The following is a 17,267-nucleotide window of genomic DNA, read 5'->3' on the forward strand; positions in this document are numbered from 1 at the left end:
CCAGGCTGGAGGGCAGTGGCTCAATCTTGGCTCACTGCAACCTCCACCTCCCAGGTTCAAGTGATTCTCCTGCCTCAGCCTCCCAAGTAGCTGGGATTACAGGTGCAAGCTACCATGCCTGGCTAATTTTTATATTTTTAGTAGAGATGCGGTTTTACCATATTGGCCATACTGGTCTCGAACTCCTGAGCTCAAGTGATCTGCCCACCTTGGCCTCCCAGAGTGCTGGGATCATAGGTGTGAGCCTGTAAGTGTGGGCCCGCCAGCCTCTTTCATTCAACATGTACTTTCATCCAGATTCCTCGGGATCTGAATTCCTGCAGGCTTTCTATCCTAGAAGCACTGGCTTTTCCAGAATCTAGGCCTGAGGGCAAGAACTTGCTTGTCATAGTAGTGGCCAAGTCATAAAACCATATTCTCTTCCGACTAGGGTAGGCTTTAGGGTTCAGCTTACTTCCCTTCTTGGAACTTAGGTTGCAGTATCAGGCTTTCAACAGAGCTAGGATATGCTGAGTCTCCTTGAGTAGAGGCGGCAGTGGGAACAACGTGGTTTCAGGAGACATAAATTGCACGAAACCAATTAGGTTATTTAGGGGAAAGAAATGAAAGGTCTGCACTGAATCTAGGGTAAGACTTCGGTAGGATAGGAGAATTAAGTTGGTCTTGAAATTGAGGCATGAGAGGGGTCCGGCTTGTTGGTTGGGAGACTGCCTAAACAAGTTATAGCCACGCCATTCTAGACACTTCCATCCTAGAAGGGAGGGCCCAGGAAGTCTGTATATAACCAACTCTAGGGCAGAGGCTGCCAGCTGGTGGCCCGTGAGCCAGACTTGGGCCCCAGAGATAGATTTGTTTGGTTTGTGGTGTTGTAAATAATTTTGAATTAGTTGCCAACATTTGAAAATCAGGACTTGCCTTTTCTCTTGAAAAATCAAAAGTTCAGGCATCATTGGACCCAAATTCCTGCCCGATAAAATAAGCTGGATTTCAGTAGTCGTAGCTTCTTTAAAAAAAAAAAAAATTTCTTTTTTGTTTATTTAAAAGGAGTATCCCTATGTTGCCCAGGCTGGTCTCAAACTCCTGGCTCAAGTGATGCTCCTGCCTCAGCCTCTCCAAGTGTTGGGATTACAGGCATGAGCCTCTGTGGAGGGCTCTGGCTCCTTTTTTTTTTTTGAGACAGAGTCTTGCTCTGTCACCCAGGCTGGAGTGCAGTGGCGCGATCTCGGCTCACTGCAAGCTCCGCCTCCCAGGTTCACGCCATTCTCCTGCGTCAGCCTCCTGAGTGCTGGGACAACAGGTGCCTGCCACCACGCCTGGCTAATTTTTTGTATTTTTAGTGGAGATGGGGTTTCACCATGTTAGCCAGGATGGTCTTGATGTCCTGACCTCGTGATCCGCCCACCTCGGCCTCCCAAAGTGCTGGGATTACAGGCGTGACCCACGGCGCCCAGCCGGCTGTGGCTCCTTTTAAATGGAGTATGGACTCCCCAGTCCACTGTAGTCCTCCACTTCTTGTATTATCCCCAGACTTTCTTGCCTTTGCTCACTCATATTACTTTCCTGGCCTCTGAAGGCACTGCACTTTCAGATCCTGGCTTTCTGGCTGTACCCCATCCCCTTCCCAGGTTATACTGGCAAGGAGATCCAAGCAGCTTTTTGCAGATTTCAGGCTATTTTATTTTACCTACTAATTATCCTAGAACAGTGGTTCTCAGCCAGAGGGGAGTTTATCTTCCAGGAGACATTTAGCAATATCTGGAGACACTTTTGGTTGTCACAACTCCTGGAAGGGGGTGCTTTTTGCTTCTAATGGTAGAGGTCGGGGTGCTGCTGAACATACCACCATGCACAGAACAGCTTCTCACAATAAAGACTTACTTGGCCTAAAATGTCAATAGTGCTGAGGTTGAGAAACTCTGTCTTAAGGGTGCACTCTGTTCATATGTGTTCTGGGGTTTTGGAATCTTATGTGGTGAGGCAGGGCCACAGGCTGCTGACTGAACTCAGTAAGTTTAGGGGCTCATACTCACTTGTGGGACTAATGGGGAGAAATGTTGGTTCTTGAGGTAGGTACATAGGGTCTCCTCTTTGCCTAGGTGACCAGCAGGATTCACAGTAACCCAGGTGCCCAGTATTATAAGAGTACTTGATTTGACTGCAGAAGGGTGGTGTTTCTGCCTTGGGTGTTGTCAGCCCATTTAGCTTTGTGGGCTTTGACCTCGGGATCCTCCCTCTTGTGTAGGCTTATACACATCAATGGAAAGTATTTGCTTTGAAGATTTCAACATGGAAGTAGTTCATTGCTGACACAGCGGCATCAAAGCCCAGCGCCTGCTCACAGCTGAGACTCCATTCCCCCTGAGTTTGTTTGGCAAGGGTGACAGTGAGCAGGAGGAAGAGAAGGAGGGAGACTGGGAAGGATGAGACTGGAGGGAAGAAGAAACACTGTATGATCCCTGAGTATCCATTGTTTCCATGCTTTCCTGCTCTCTTGGACCCAGGCCTGGTCAGAGTTCTCAGTAGAAAAGATACGCTCCTCATTTTGGCTAGTTGCTATGGACAGACAACTTTCTTGTTCTGAGAGTGATACGGGGCTAGGGAGGACTGGGTCTTGATCATAGTTGTTTCAAGACTCCAACCCTATATATAGTTCGAATGCTTTCATAATGGGACTAAATGTATTTGTGTAATTAAAAACAAAGACACTGGCCAGGCTCAGTGGCTCATGCCTGTAATCTCAGCAGTTTGGGAGGCCAAGGCAGGAGGATCACTTGAGCCCAGGAGTTCATGACCAGCCTGGGCAACATAGCAAGAACTCGTCTCTTAAAAAACAAAATAAAACAAAAAACCACAAAAAAACAAGGATACTTTAAAAAAAGACACATACATTACATATTTATATACATCCCAGGAGGTAGCCACTGATTCTGGGATCCCCATTTGGAAGGGTTTACCTCCCCTGGAGTGTTGGAGAGCATTTCACTCCTGAATGTCTTGTAGTTGTCCCCTCCCTACCCTGCCTTTCTTCCTTTCTTCCTTCCACATTTTTTTTTTTTTAGATGGAGTCTCACTCTGTTGCCCAGGCTGGAGTCCAGTGGCGTGATCTTGGCTCATTGCAACCTCTGCCTCCCGGGTTCAAGTGATTCTCCTGCCTCGGCCTGCTGATTAGCTGGGACTACAGGCATACGCCACTATGCCCAGCTAATTATTTTGTATTTTTAGTAGAGACGGGGTTTCACCATACTGGCCAGGCTAGTCTCAAACCCTTGACCTTGTGATTTGCCCGCCTCGGCCTCCCAAAGTGCTGGCATTACAGGTGTGAGCCACTGCGCCCGGCCTTTCTTCCACATTTTTGTTGTTATTTTTTGTTTACGGTTGCACTCCTTTGTCCTTGAATGCCCCTTTATAACATTCAGCCTGTCTGGGAGGAATTGGAAGGTTTCCCTCCGCTCTCTGTTGCCTGTGGGAAAAGAGAGTTGTGACTACTGTCAGCGTAGCTGGGAGTACAGCTTCAGATTGCCAGGCAATCTCCTCATCAGAAAGAGAGTATGAAAGGCACAGTTCTGCGAGAGGGTGCATATGTTATTCACTATTAACTTGGGTTTCAGACAACAGAAAACCTTTAGCAGCATGGCTCAAACATGTTGATGTTTGTTTCTCTCACATGTTAAAAGGAGGCAGTGTGGTTTGGATGACTTCAGTTCTTCAGGGAGCCAGGTTTATTCCTTCTGTCTTCCTGCCATCCTCAGCCTGTGACTTCTAGCTGGTGGTCCAGGATGGTTATTGAAGCTCTAGCTGTCATGTCTGCACTGTAACTGACAAGAAGGACAAAGACACTGCCTCCCCCATTTAAAGACACTTTCTGAGGTCTTATATGAAATATTTGCATACATCCCGGGAGAAAACCTGGTTGCACAGCCGTACCTACCTGCAGGAGAGGCTGGGCAATGTCAGCTTTATTTTGGACAGCCATGCCTTCAGCTAAAATTTCTATTACGAATGAAAAAGGGAAGAACAGATAGAGGAAGATAACTAGCCATGTCTGCCACAGAGACTTTGGGGATTTGTTTCTGCTTTGGCTTTCAGTTTGGATCTGCCATTTGAGTACTCCTTTCTCAGCAATAAGCTCCCAGAGAGCCTTGAAGACCCTCACGTGGGTCCCACGCTCCTTGGTGCAGGCTTGTCCAGCAAGGAAATGAGATCAGGAGAAGAGGGAAGGCTTGGATGTTTTAATTGTGGTAGCTGAATCTTAGCATCTGGCTTTAAGGCCCAGTTGTTGACTTTGTTTGAACTCTGATAGTTTATGGTAAGCTAGGGGGGCTGGGAGTTCTGGGAAGCAATAGAGGAGTAAGGATCAGATGGTGAAATTTTGTTTCTTAATTAGAATCAGGAGAACAGTCAAGGGACTTGGCTTCTGCTTGACAGACTGTTCTAGGAGCTCTCTGTTCTCTGGCAGGGCTGATAGTAGGGTGAGGCAAACGAGGTGCCTGGGGTCAGCGTTGAAGGGCGTACTCACTCTCAGGTTCCGGCATGTGGTCCCCTGAGAGTGAGTGCCTCCTTAAATTTTGTGCCCTAGGTGCCTCCTAGCTTCACACTACCCTGGCTCTGCCTTCTGGTGCTACATTGTTGCTAATGAACCATTTTTATTTTTAAACAAATTCTTTTAAAAATTTTCAGGGGCCATGCTAATCTTCTTTGCGTCGTTCCAATTTTAGTATATGTGCTGCTGAAGTGAGCACGAACTATTTTTATTTTTATCTAGAAAGAGGCGTATGTTCACGGTAAACCATGGTAAACCACAGAGTGGAAAAAGTCTCCTTCCCTCTCCACAGCTTTAGTCTTTCTCCCCAGAGGAGCCACTCTGACCAGGTGCTTTTGTATCCTTCCAGCTGGTCTATTGGAATGGACTCTGCAGGCATTTCCACAAGCAGCCTTCTTTATTCATTAGTTTAGCACATAGTTGAATTTCCACTGTGTGTAATATTTACCTGTGCACAGAGAGGACCAAACCTGTAGGACATTTATGGCAGGATAGAAGGAAGGAGAAGGATCAGAAGTGAGACCCAGTGCCAGTTAGTGGGTCTGAGGAGTGTATCAGCTTCTCTTCCCCTTGGAGCTGCAAACCAGAAGCACAGTTAGCACTGCCAGGATATTGTCAGACAGTCTCTTTCTCCATGTTTATTTCCACCTTTTTGTGTTTCTCTCCTTTTATCCTCTTCTGTCTCTGCCTCCTTGTCTCTTATCTCTCACCCCTCTGTCTCTTCTGTGTATTTTCTCGTCTTTTTTTTTTTTTTTTTTAGAGACAAGTTCTCACTCTGTTGCCCTGGCTGGAGTGCAGTGACTATTCACAGATGCTATTACAGTGCACTATAGGCCCGGACTCCTGGGTTCGGCAGTTCTCCCACCTCAGCCTCCCACACAGTTGGGACTCCAGGTGTGCACCGCTGCCCCGGCCCCCTGTCTGTCTTTTTGTCTAAGCTGCATGCCCTCCCACTTCTGCTTCTTTTTGTGTTCTGCTTCCTTCCTCTATTTACTTATGGTTTCTGTCCCTTTGTTACTAAGGGCTTGTATGTGACTTTCACTTGCTGTAGCTCCTGACCCTTCTGCCCATTACTGTTAGATTCAGTTTCTTGGTATTCCAACTCTGTGTTTCTGGGAGAGGCAATGTAACAGGCTCAACTTGGGTCCAGTGTCTGGCTCCATCAGTCATGATAGGGAAGGGGGAGCAATTCCCAAGAAGGAGCTGGGCAGGTACTTCAAAACATGGCTACTGTACTGTGTAGGGGCCTATGGATTACTGGTACCTATTAACTAGGTAATCCTTATGTTAGCTGATTGAGGCTTAACCCCATACAGGTAGCTTTGATCATCAGGGTAGGTCCCTGGGAAGACCTGCCAGCAGCATGCATTTCTTTGGGCTGCTTCTCCCCTCCCATTTGACCACTGTCCCCCTACTCCCACATCATGATTGACTAGTAAGCACCTGTGTTACTGGCCAGTGTACTGAGTGAAAGCTCTTTGAAGCCATTGAGCCTGGCACCTGCCACCTGTGTTCATTTTCACAGGCTGGCCATAGGCACTTCTCTCCATTTGAATGGAAGAATATCCAACTTTCTGACAATTTGCCTTGCTCCAGGGAATTGGAAGTTAGAGTGAAAATCTTACCACCTTGGTTCCAACCAGGGTTTATCAGTGCCCCTCTTTGCTTGGTGATGAGCTTAAGAAAACAACGTGGCCAGGCATAGTGGCTCATGCCTGTAATCCTAATATGGGAGGCTGAGGCAGGAGGATTGCTTGAGCCCAGGAGTTCCAGACCAGCCTGGACAATACAGCAAGACCCCTGTCTCTACAAAATAATTTTTTTTTAATTAGCTGGGTGTGGTGGTGTGCACCTGTGGTCCCAGCTAATAGGAGGTTGAGGTGGGAAGATCACTTGAGCCCTGGACATCGAGGCTGCAGTGAGCTGTGATCGCACCCACTCCAGCCTGGGTGACAGAGCAAGACCCTGTCTCAAAAAAAAAAAAAAAAAAAAAAAGAAGGAAAGAAGGAAAATAAAATGATATACTGCTGTTACCTTCTGAGAATTTGTGATCTTGGGAGAAGCATGACCCAATCACCTGAGGGAGAGACTTGAGACAGGTGTCTACATGATGATAGCATAGACACTAACCTGTGCTAAGAAGCAGGAATGCCATGTGGTTCAGGAGAGAAAGAGCTCAGAGAGGGGTGGGGTGGTGTATTCAGAGAAGGTTTTACAGAGGAAGAGGAAGTGGGGGCTGAACTAGACCTTGACTGGGAGTTGCTGTTGGCTATGGCAGGAAGAGGAGGGGAGGACATTTCTTTTTATGTGTGTGTACGGTACGAGTAAGAGAGAGAGTCTGGCTGAAGGAGAGAGTGCAAAGTGGGTAGGAGTAAGTGGAGTTGGCCTAGAGGATGGGCCCAAAAGATTTTGTAGTAAGATTTGAGGTGCACATAAAAGTTCTGTTTTTGTATGCTAGAGGCAGTACTCACAGATGTCACTGCGTTCCTTCCTGCTGGATATTGCTCTTATGTCGTCCCCATGGATCAGTCATTGTTTAGCAGGAGCAAAGTGCCGGGGCTCTCAGCACAGGGCCCAGATGTCACTGAAGTGTGTGAGGAGCTAGAACTTAAAGCCACGTGAGCCTAGGGAGTACTCGAGTGGGTGCGCTTCTCCATGGACTTCATTGAGAATTGGGAGGTATGGGTAGGAATGAGGGTGGAAGCGATCAGTGGGCTTGGGAATGTGAACTTAGAAATGGTAGTTAGCTTCTCTCACCTCAGTTTCCTCATCCATAAAATGGGAATAGGAATATCTGTATTTTGGAGTCGTGAGAATTGATGGAGAGGTGTATGTGAAATTGTCAGGCATATAACAGACTTTTCTTTTTCTCCTTTTTTTTTTTTTTTTGAGACGAGGTCTTACTCTGTCATCAGGCTGGAGTGCACGGCTCACTGCTGCCTCAACCTCCTAGGCTCAAGCGACCCTCCCTCCTCAGCCTCCTGAGTAGCTGGGACTACAGGTGTGCACCACCACGCCCAGCTAATTTTTGTATTTTTTGTAGGGACAGGGTTTCTCCATGTTGCCCAGGCTGGTCTCTAACTCCTGGGCTCACATGATCCATCTGCCTCAGTTTCCCAAAGTGCTGGGATTACAGGTGTGAGCCACTGCACCTGGCCTCATTTTTACACTTAATGCAAAACACTGTCTCTCTAATTTCTTAGGTAACCTGCCATCTGCATTCAAATTTACCTCACTTACTGATGAGTTTCTTTTGGCCATGAAGAGGTCTTGTGTCTCCTGTGGTTTGGAACCTTGGGAGTCTGGGTGGGAAAGAGTAGGTGAAATCACCCATCCCTGGGCCTGGGGGGAATTCCCAGAAATGGTGCTAGCCATCAGGATGTATAAGTATGTGTTCACGCATGCCTTCATATCCTTGAGCACCAGTAGTGATGGAAGTGCCTGTGTGCTGTCAGCTGGGGCGGGTGCAGGGTGTCCCCTCGCTTGCCAGTTCGCCTTGTTCTGACTGGTCCATTGGCCCCTTTGCCTTAGGCAGGAAGGGCAGAAAGAGTGCTCTCTGTAAAGAGGGGTTGGGCCCCTGTGCCCTCAACTCAAGCCTGCCAGTGACTTTGTGGTTTTCCTCCTAGGTCTGCTGACATTTGTGAACTGTGCCTATGTCAAGTGGGGCACACGTGTGCAGGACACGTTCACTTACGCCAAGGTCGTAGCGCTCATTGCCATCATTGTCATGGGCCTTGTTAAACTGTGCCAGGGTAAGTGGTGGGAAGGGGGGTACCACCAACAGTTCCTCTGGATTCCCTGAGGAGAACATGGCGACTCTGTTAGCTTCACTGCTCGGCTGTTTCTATGTACATGCTAGCATGTGTCAGTGAGTGCAAGAGATGGGAGTAGATTTCTTTCTGGGCTTTTTGGGCCAGGCTGGCTTGGCCAAGTGGACATGAGTCAGCCTGTCCCTCAGGGCTGGTTTCCTTTGGTGGAGGCTGGGAGCATTGCAGGAAGCCAGCCAAGGGCCTAGGAGCTCCTGAAGCTTGGGTCATGATTGGGTCATAAAAGTAATCTGTGGGGATAGAGTGGCTCCTGTTTGTGGTCTGTGACTGCCAAGCTACAAGTAGGAAGACTGGGCCCTCCTTGAGACAGGTGGCAGGGTATATGGAGCTGGAAGTGGGGTATGGAAATGGGTGGTTATTTTGCAGCCTTTACTTTTCATCTGGACTTGTATTCAGCAATCCCTCCCCAAGTCAGCTCTCAGAAAAATATTAAAATATTGTGAAATTGGCAGTGTCTTTCCTAAATGTTGGCTTTAGAAAGCTTTTCATTCCTGGATCAGAGAGGACTGGCAGTGAGGGTAACAGGCCTACCAAGATCTCATGAGCCCTAGAGAGGTCTTGAGGTGTCTTTAGCCACAGATATCTCAATCATTTCACAGCCCAGTTCTCTAGGTCATCAGTCCCTAAATGTGGCTGTGTACAGTCACCCGGGGAGCTGAGACCCTAATCTCAAATCTGTTGGATCACATTCTGGTTGGTGTGGAGTCTAAAAAGCTGTGCTTTTAAGAATTGCCCTTGGCCCGGCACGGTGGCTCACGCCTGTAATCCTAACACTTTGGGAGGCTGAGGTGGGCGAATCAGCAGGTCAGGAATTCGAGACCAGCCTGACCAACATAGAGAAACCCTGTCTCTACTAAAAATACAAAAATTGGCTGGGCATGGTGGTGCGCGCCTGTAATCCCAGCTACTTAGGAGGCTGAGGCAGGAGAATGGCTTGAAAACAGGAGGCGGAAGTTGCAGTAAGCCGAGATTGTGCCACTGCCCTCCATCCAGCCTAGGTGACAGAGCAAGATTCCATCTCAAAAAAAAAAAAAAAAAAAGAATTGCCCTTGTTGGGCTGGGCGCGGTGGCTCATGCCTGTAATCTCAGCACTCTGGGAGGCCGGGAGGCTGAGGCAGATGGATCACCTGAGGTCAGGAGTTTGAGACCAGCCTGGCCAACATGGAGAAACCCTGTCTCTACTAAAAATACAAAAAATTAGCCGGGGGTGGTGGTGGGTGCCTCTAATCCCAGCTACTCGGGAGGCTGAGGCAGGAGAATCGCCTTAAACTGGGAGGCAGAGGTTGCAGTGAGCCAAGATCTTGCCATTGCACTCCAGCCTGGGCAACAAGAACGAAACTCTGTCTCAAAAAACAGAAAAAGAAAAAGAAAAAAAGAATTGCCCTTGTTGATTCTTAGACTGCTGGTCTAGCCTGTGTACTTATATCAAGTTAGTAGAGCTAGCCATGTGGATGTCCCTGGAGGCTCAGGAGCATCCTGGGGTCAAATTGGGTTTTGAGTAATCCTCCCCTGAAGATCTGTTCCTTAGGGAACCACTGCTGTGTATGAGAATGGACACCCCTGAGGACAGGGGTCTCTATTTTCTCTTCTCTTGCTGCATAGCCAGCTCTTTTTACCACATGAGAGCTGGGTCTAGGCTTTCTTCAGGGTGTGACAATGGGCTTCCTTAGAAGTCTGGGTCTTGTTAAAGACCCCAGTATGTCCAGAGGGTCTCTGATCTGGGTAGCTGGGTGCTGTCCCCTGGGCTTTTGTGTCTGCAGTCTCTGAGGCCTCTGAGGAGAATGACAGGCTGGGCTGGCTCCCCGGAGGGTGGGGGTGGCTCAGGCCTAGTGAAAGATAAGGTCTCAGTTCCTCTATAGCATGTCATCTCCCCCATGCAACCATAGCTACCGCAAGTAGAGCAGCATAGAGTCCTTCCCATGAGGCTGATAAACCCATTGACCAAATTGTGCAGTAGTCTGGTCCAAGAGAGGTAGTTCACAGGAAGGTATAATTTTCAATGAAAAATGACTCCTTCATGTGAAATGGGGTTCTTGACATAAATAGGTAGAAGAGCTGGGGCTTGCTGTGAGATCATTTGCAGGAAATGGAAATTCTTTAGGGTTTTGGAAGAAGTATTGTCACATCAGAGGGCGGCCAAGAATGTCTTTGGTTTTTTATTGTCTAGTTTTATTAAAGGAATGTGAGCTTTCCTGAGGAAGTGGGTGGGGTGGTAAAGTGTAGGGAGCTAGTGGTTGTTGATCTTTTGGTGTTAAATTATGTTTTTTTTTCTTTCCCCTGCCTTCTTGTTTTTTCTTTCTTGTTCCTCCCCATTCCTCCTTTTTTTCATCTTCCCTTCCTCTTTCCTATTCTCCTTTCGTATCTTTCTCTTACACCTCCCATCTCCTCTTCCTTTCTCCTTTGGCCTGTTCCTTCTCTCTGAACCCCTCACCTGCCTTTGCCCCCACAGGACACTCTGAGCACTTTCAGGACGCCTTTGAGGGTTCCTCCTGGGACATGGGAAACCTCTCTCTTGCCCTCTACTCTGCCCTCTTCTCTTACTCAGGTTGGGACACCCTTAATTTTGTAACAGAAGAAATCAAAAACCCAGAAAGGTAAAGATGGGATCACACTCTCACTCCCCAGCTTGGCTGGAACTCCTGCTGATAGTGGGCGTGCCTGCCCTCATCCTTCTCCTCCTCCCTCCGACTCTCCTCCCCTCTTCTCCCTACTCCCCCTTCTCCAGCTAGGAGGGGCTGAGGGCTAGAATGGGAGTGAGTGAAGGTAGGAAAGCCTTCGGCTCCCTGTCCTCACGTTCGCACTGGAGGATAGGGCCTTCCTAGAGGAGAGGGCCTTCAGTGGGGAGCAGCAGGCCCAGCTGGGGCAAAGGAATTAGGACCTCGGACTCTGGTGCTGACACTACAGCCCGCAGAACCAAAACTTATTCTGGCCAGCTGGGTCCCCAGCCTGGCATCCAGTCCCCAGGACACTGTTCCTTGCACTGTTCCTCTGAGATCACAGATGCAGGAGGATTATGAAACCCAGTAGGACCCATTGGTCCTACTGTGGCAAAGATTAAATATTGATCATGAGCTATCTTCACAGAGAAAGTTGGGTCTTTCTCAATAGAAAGAACCCAGGGTCAAGGGGAAGGTGAGCCTCCCTCAAAGACTTGGAGGCTAGTGAACTGTTAAATGTTAGGAAAATCCCAGTGGAGACTTGATAAACTTTGTTCCCAAGGAGAGGTTGGTTCTAGGTAGTCCTTTCTCACTTGTCCTGACAGAAATTTGCCCTTGGCCATTGGGATTTCTATGCCAATTGTGACGCTCATCTACATCCTGACCAATGTGGCCTATTACACAGTGCTGAACATTTCAGATGTCCTTAGCAGTGATGCTGTGGCTGTGGTGAGTCTCTTGGGATCCCCATTTGTTCATCATCTCCTGATACTGAGCCACCCTGCACAGCTCAGTCTGTCTTACTGCACCCTCCTCAGCTCTGCAGGATGAGGTCATGAGTCTAGGCCAGAGGGTGGGCTGCTTAGCAGTGATTGCATTTGTTCCGAGATCATAGATGCAGGAGGATTATGAAACCCTGTGCGTTTAAGTGCCTTTTCTGTGCCCTGCCCCCAGACATTTGCTGACCAGACGTTTGGCATGTTCAGCTGGACCATCCCCATTGCTGTTGCCCTGTCCTGCTTTGGGGGCCTCAATGCATCCATCTTTGCTTCATCAAGGTACTGTGTCTCTGTGTCACTGATAATAGACCACAATATTTCATTCTCTGGGGCTTAGGCATAAGAGTTCCTTTTTTCCCTCCTTCTCATGGGCATATAGGGTGTGTGTGTGTGTGTGTGTGTGTGTGTGTGTGTGTGTTTGGTATGTGGGCATGTACTTGCCTTTGTGCAAGTAGCACATTTGTATGCTGGTAGCTCATGTTTCCATCTGAGGTGAGGACAGATTGTGTGCTGATAGCTCATGTTATGTGTTGATAGCTCATATTTATGTGCTGGTAGCTCATATTTTGTGTGCTGGTAGCTCATGTTTATGTGCTGGTAGCTCATGTTTTGTGTGCTGGTAGCTCATGTTTCCATCTGAGATGAGGACAGATTGATGAAAGGTATAGGGGAGAAAGGCAACAGCTTGGAGTGGTGACTTGGGCAGGGACCAGATTCTAGGCTCCTTGTGGGTTATGCTGTAGCCCCAGGATTCATTCCTTCAGTAAATGATAACAGCACTTGCTGTGTACCAGGTATTGGTGCTATGTACAGAAAGACTTTCCCCCTCACTTCCCAGAAAATGCCGAGGCCATCAGGTCTCCTGATCTCCTCTGTGCAGACATCTATAAGCGTGCTGGTCCTTCCTGTTGTTGAAGAGGAAGGAGCAGGTGTGCCTTTCCTGGCAGACTCTGCTACTTGGGCTCGGGGTTCCAGCACTTCCCCTCTTCTTCAGCAGTTTGCTCCATCAGTTGGCCCTTCTCTTTGGTGGGTGCTCACTTGGAGCCAGCTCTCCAATAGCTTCTCTCCTCTCCACTTAGGAGAGACACAAAATAGCGTTTCGCATCTCTCCTCTTCCCACTTACTGGATGTACTACTTTTTATTTTTAAATTAATTTTTTTTAGAGATTGGGGTCTCACTATGTTGCCCAGGCTGGTCTCAAACTCCTGGTCTCAAGTGATCCTCCCACCTTAGCCTCCCGAGTAGCTGGGATTAAAGGCATGCGCCACCATACCTGGCCCTGGAGGCATGAGGGCTTGTGAGACAGCAGTCTGGGCTTCAACTTTCATTCATTTTCCCATCTGTTAAGAGTTTGGCTTCTACTACCTGAAAAATATTCTTATTAAGGCGATCTCTTTCTTAGCCTGTCTTTAGTCCTCATCCTATTGGACCTCTGAAGCAAGTGATGCTGACCACTTTCCAATTTTGAAACAATTCCCATGGCTTCTATGACATAAGATACATGAGAAGAAAATTTCTTTCCTGATTTCTCTTCCACTCACTCTATAACTGGTGTTGTCCCCAGGGCCGGGGGTATAATAGTCATCCAATAAATATTTGCCATGTGAACACACAGAAGCATGAAAAATAAGAGAGAGTTTTGTCCCGTTCATTCTTTTTACTGGTTTTCACACACCAGTCCATGTGTTGTGCCTCCCTGGGGCAAGCAAAGAATTAGAGAAGTCAAGGCCTTGTAAAAGAACATAGTGTCCAGCTGGGCGTGGGGCTCACACCTGTAATCCCAGCACTTTGGGAGGCTTAGGCGAGAAGATTACCTTAGGTCAGGAGTTCGAGACCAGCCTGACCAATATGGTGAAACCCTGTCTCTACTAAAAATACAAAAAAAGAAAAATTAGCTGGGCATGGTGGCACGTGCTTGTAGTCCCAGCCGCTCGGGAGGGTGAGGCAGGAGAATTGCCTGAACCCAGGAGGCGGAGGTTGCAGTGAGCCGAGATCGCGCCATTGAACTCCAGCCTGGGCTACAGAGCGAGACTCCATCTCAAAAATAAAAAAAGTAGTGTCACCTTCCCTCTGCTCAGCCTAGTTGTGATAGATGGACTTCTTTTCTAGCCTTTCCCTGACACCCTAGCCTCCCCCTGCTCTAGTTTGCTCTCCAGTCTGGTGTCAAATCCCGTCAGGCCCTTACCTCAAAGCCACAGCTGACTGTGTTTGTTCAGACTCCACAGTGTGGCCTTGTATGCAGGTTCTTCCCAGCACCCTCTTCTCACACAGCTTGTCCTGGGGCTCTAGGCATTCTACATCAACCTCCAAAGAGGCCACGCTCTTTCATACCTCCACACATTTTGCCTATGCACATGCTCGTTTTTTCCACCTACCGACTTGCTTCTGGAAACTCTTCTTTGCATCTCTCCTCTTGCAAAGCATTTTGGCACAAGCCTCAAGCCTAGCGAGTGAGTGTCGTGTACTCCAAGGTGATGCTGACCATGCTGGGGACAGTTCATTTCTGTGCCAGTCTTTTTTTGTTTGTTTTTGAGATGGAGTTTTACTCTTGTTGCCCAGGCTGGAGTGCAATGGTGCGATCTCGGCTCACTGCAACCTCCGCCTCCTGGATTCAAGTGATTCTCCTGCCTCAGCCTCCCGAGTAGCTGGGATTACAGGCATGTGCTACCGCGCCCGGCTTATTTTGTATTAGTAGAGACAGGGTTTATCCATGTTGGTCAGGCTGGTCTCAAACTCCCGACCTCAGGTGATCCACCTGCCTCGGCTTCCGAAAGTGCTGGGATTATAGGCATGAGCCACCATGCCTGGACGCTGTGCCAGTCTTTTTCCCAGTCGGTAGAGCTCTTTAGGTGTAGAAAGGAAGCCTGGGTTGTCTCTCTGACCCTCAGTCTTGCCTTACATCAGCTCAGGGAAAATATATGGAGGGCATGAACAGAAATCTGGCTGCCCTTTAAAAGCTATTATGTTAGCTATGAATCTGGCATGGATTGGGTGAGTCTGTTAGTGGGTGACAGCAGGGTGAGGCATCTGTTGGATGTTGGTGAGGTATCTGTGGCTGAGAGAAGAGGGGGTATCTGGGTGATGGTGGGTGGGGCATCTGGGTAGTGGTGAGGTGCCCGGGGATGAAGAGGGAGGGAAAATCTGTAGGGAAGGGGGGAGCAGGGAGGTTGGACTGGTGATGCACTAAGGACCTGGGATGCTCCTGGGAGGCTGCATCCTGCTTTCCTCGGGGGCTCTGAGCTGAGTTTGTCCAAGTGAGGAGTGAGTATGGCTGAGTAAAAGGAGTAAAGGATCCTGCTGACACATTTCTCATCCTTCTAGGTTGTTCTTCGTGGGCTCCCGGGAGGGCCACCTACCGGACCTTCTGTCCATGATCCACATTGAGCGTTTTACACCTATCCCTGCTTTACTGTTCAATGTAAGCTTTGCTGGGACCACGGGGCTCAGGTGGATCTGTGCATTGCTCCTTCTGATTTGTGCTAAGTTGTTAAATAAGAGGGACCCTGAGAAAGGCCTTACTCTAAGATGTGAAAAACAGTTCATTTTTTGTTGTCATTTAATTCTTTTATGGTTTTATTACGTTTAATTTTGGATTAATCTGGAATTTATATTATAGCATAGTATTGAGAAAGGTGGGGATTCACTTAATTTTTTCTCGAATGGCAGCCAGCTATACCAATATCGCTCACTCAACAATCCATTTTCCCACAGTTTTCAAACTTTTATCACAGAAAATTAATAGCTAATTTTTTTAGGGTCCTTAATATGTGCCAATTATTATTGTATGCCCCTTAAATGTGCCATCTCAACTAATCCTCCCCATCAGCACCAAGTCTCCTTAGTTTAGCTTTATACTGACTATCTGAAAACTAAAGAGGGACCAAGGGTACTTCTTTAGTCCCCCCGCCCTTGGAATTTTCCTAGCAATTCTCATATTCGTTTATTTGTCTTGATGAACTTTTCTATCATTTCATCAAAGTAAGAGAAAAATTCTCTTGATATTTTGACAGGGCCAGCATTGAATTTATAAATTTAGGAGGTTATCTGACTATAGGCACACACCACCAGGCCTGGCTAATTTATTTTTTGTAGAGATGAGGTCTCACTATGTTGCCCAGGCTGGTCTTGAGCTCCTGGGCTCCAGTGAGCTGCCACTTCAGTCTCCCAAAGTGCTGGGATTATAGGCACAAGCCACCACGCCCAGCCTTCTCTTCTTAATACAGGGTTCTCCCTTATCTCCACAGAATGAGCTATTTGGTTTTAAATCCTTTGTTGATAATTTGTAATGAAAAGATTATTGAAGTTTAAACACATTTGACCTTGTCCCAGGACCCTAGGCCCTAATCCTTGCCTTCTAGGATTCTTTTGTTCCAGAAGCTAATGCTGTCTTATGTCTGGATGGATCCATTTTGCTAGTTTCCAGGTCCAACACCTGACTTCAGAGGCCTGAAATGCTACAATTTCTCCCTCTGGCTCAAAATTCTTCCATGGGGAGAGAGTTAGATTCCATTATTTATTGACATTATTTAGTCCAGATGGGTAGGGATCCAATTGCTAGTTAGCATTTCTCAGGCCTGAGGACAGTGAGATGGTTCTGAAGGCGTTTCCCCCATTTGTATGCCAGGCAGTCGGGACCCAGGTCTAACCCCTCTCTAGGACACCGTGTAATCCATGTTAAGGTTGCTGCACTGAAGTGAGGAGGGCCTCAGCGTCTGCCTTTTTCTAAAGTGCTTGCAACAAGGGGGAGGCATTGAGTGGAGGAAGGGCTGCAACAGAAGGGGGAAAGATGCTACCCTGAGGGTTAATGTACCTCAGGGTACATCAAGGAATGGACCTATCTGATGCCAAGGGGTCAATGAAAAGAGCCAGAGGTAATCTGGTGAAGTGGCATCAGATCTAGTACTGACTGCTGGGTGGGGGAGTCTCCTGGGGGCGCAGGTGGTGACGATGCTCACCTGTCTCCCCACCCCTTTCCCACAGTGCACCATGGCACTCATCTACCTCATCGTGGAGGATGTTTTCCAGCTTATCAACTACTTCAGCTTCAGCTACTGGTTCTTCGTGGGCCTGTCTGTTGTTGGACAGCTCTACCTCCGCTGGAAGGAGCCCAAGCGGCCCCGGCCTCTCAAGGTCAGCAGCTCTGGCCAGACTAGGAGGGGTGGGCCATCTCCCTAAGGTGGCTTCTTGCCCACGAGCTGTTTCCTCTTCCCACGTTACTTAATCTCTCACCCCCTCTATTTCAGCTGAGCGTGTTTTTCCCCATCGTGTTCTGCATATGCTCCGTGTTTCTGGTGATAGTGCCCCTCTTCACTGACACCATTAATTCCCTCATTGGCATCGGGATTGCCCTTTCTGGAGTCCCTTTCTACTTCATGGGTGTTTACCTGCCAGAGTCCCGGAGGCCATTGTTTATTCGGAATGTCCTGGGTGAGCTTCTCTGTGCCCCATTACTCACTGGCGGCT

The 17,267-nt window shown here is 48.1% G+C and overlaps 1 protein-coding gene and 1 pseudogene across 2 annotated transcripts in view, besides 5 other annotated features; one reads left to right on the forward strand and one right to left on the reverse strand.

Moving 5' to 3' along the window:
• The window catches only part of SLC7A6 (solute carrier family 7 member 6), a 37,294-nt gene that overhangs the window by 15,054 nt on the left and 4,973 nt on the right, over positions 1–17,267 (forward strand). For both annotated transcript variants that reach the window (NM_001076785.3, NM_003983.6), the window contains 7 exons: positions 8,167–8,292; positions 10,817–10,961; positions 11,630–11,753; positions 11,979–12,082; positions 15,126–15,222; positions 16,785–16,934; positions 17,048–17,231. In NM_001076785.3, coding sequence (NP_001070253.1) covers positions 8,167–8,292; positions 10,817–10,961; positions 11,630–11,753; positions 11,979–12,082; positions 15,126–15,222; positions 16,785–16,934; positions 17,048–17,231 — 930 coding nt within the window. The remainder of the gene's footprint in view (positions 1–8,166; positions 8,293–10,816; positions 10,962–11,629; positions 11,754–11,978; positions 12,083–15,125; positions 15,223–16,784; positions 16,935–17,047; positions 17,232–17,267) is intronic.
• Positions 2,167–2,461: an enhancer, noted in NCBI's record as "tiled region #10574; HepG2 Activating DNase matched - State 5:Enh". NCBI's record gives its function as "activates a minimal TATA promoter and a strong SV40 promoter by Sharpr-MPRA in HepG2 cells {active_cell/tissue: HepG2}" and the evidence as "EXISTENCE:reporter gene assay evidence [ECO:0000049][PMID:27701403]".
• Positions 4,643–4,782: an enhancer, noted in NCBI's record as "active region_11010". NCBI's record gives its function as "activates an Ori minimal core promoter by ATAC-STARR-seq in GM12878 lymphoblastoid cells {active_cell/tissue: GM12878}" and the evidence as "EXISTENCE:reporter gene assay evidence [ECO:0000049][PMID:35858748]".
• On the reverse strand, positions 4,644–4,739 carry RNU6-1262P (RNA, U6 small nuclear 1262, pseudogene; annotated as a pseudogene).
• Positions 6,787–7,081: a silencer, noted in NCBI's record as "tiled region #6227; HepG2 Repressive non-DNase unmatched - State 14:Gen5', and K562 Repressive non-DNase unmatched - State 14:Gen5'". NCBI's record gives its function as "represses a minimal TATA promoter and a strong SV40 promoter by Sharpr-MPRA in HepG2 and K562 cells {active_cell/tissue: HepG2 | K562}" and the evidence as "EXISTENCE:reporter gene assay evidence [ECO:0000049][PMID:27701403]".
• Positions 9,864–10,003: an enhancer, noted in NCBI's record as "active region_11011". NCBI's record gives its function as "activates an Ori minimal core promoter by ATAC-STARR-seq in GM12878 lymphoblastoid cells {active_cell/tissue: GM12878}" and the evidence as "EXISTENCE:reporter gene assay evidence [ECO:0000049][PMID:35858748]".
• Positions 10,034–10,083: an enhancer, noted in NCBI's record as "active region_11012". NCBI's record gives its function as "activates an Ori minimal core promoter by ATAC-STARR-seq in GM12878 lymphoblastoid cells {active_cell/tissue: GM12878}" and the evidence as "EXISTENCE:reporter gene assay evidence [ECO:0000049][PMID:35858748]".

The sequence above is a fragment of the Homo sapiens genome, chromosome 16 (assembly GCF_000001405.40).
Source record: "Homo sapiens chromosome 16, GRCh38.p14 Primary Assembly".
NCBI lineage: Eukaryota > Metazoa > Chordata > Mammalia > Primates > Hominidae > Homo > Homo sapiens.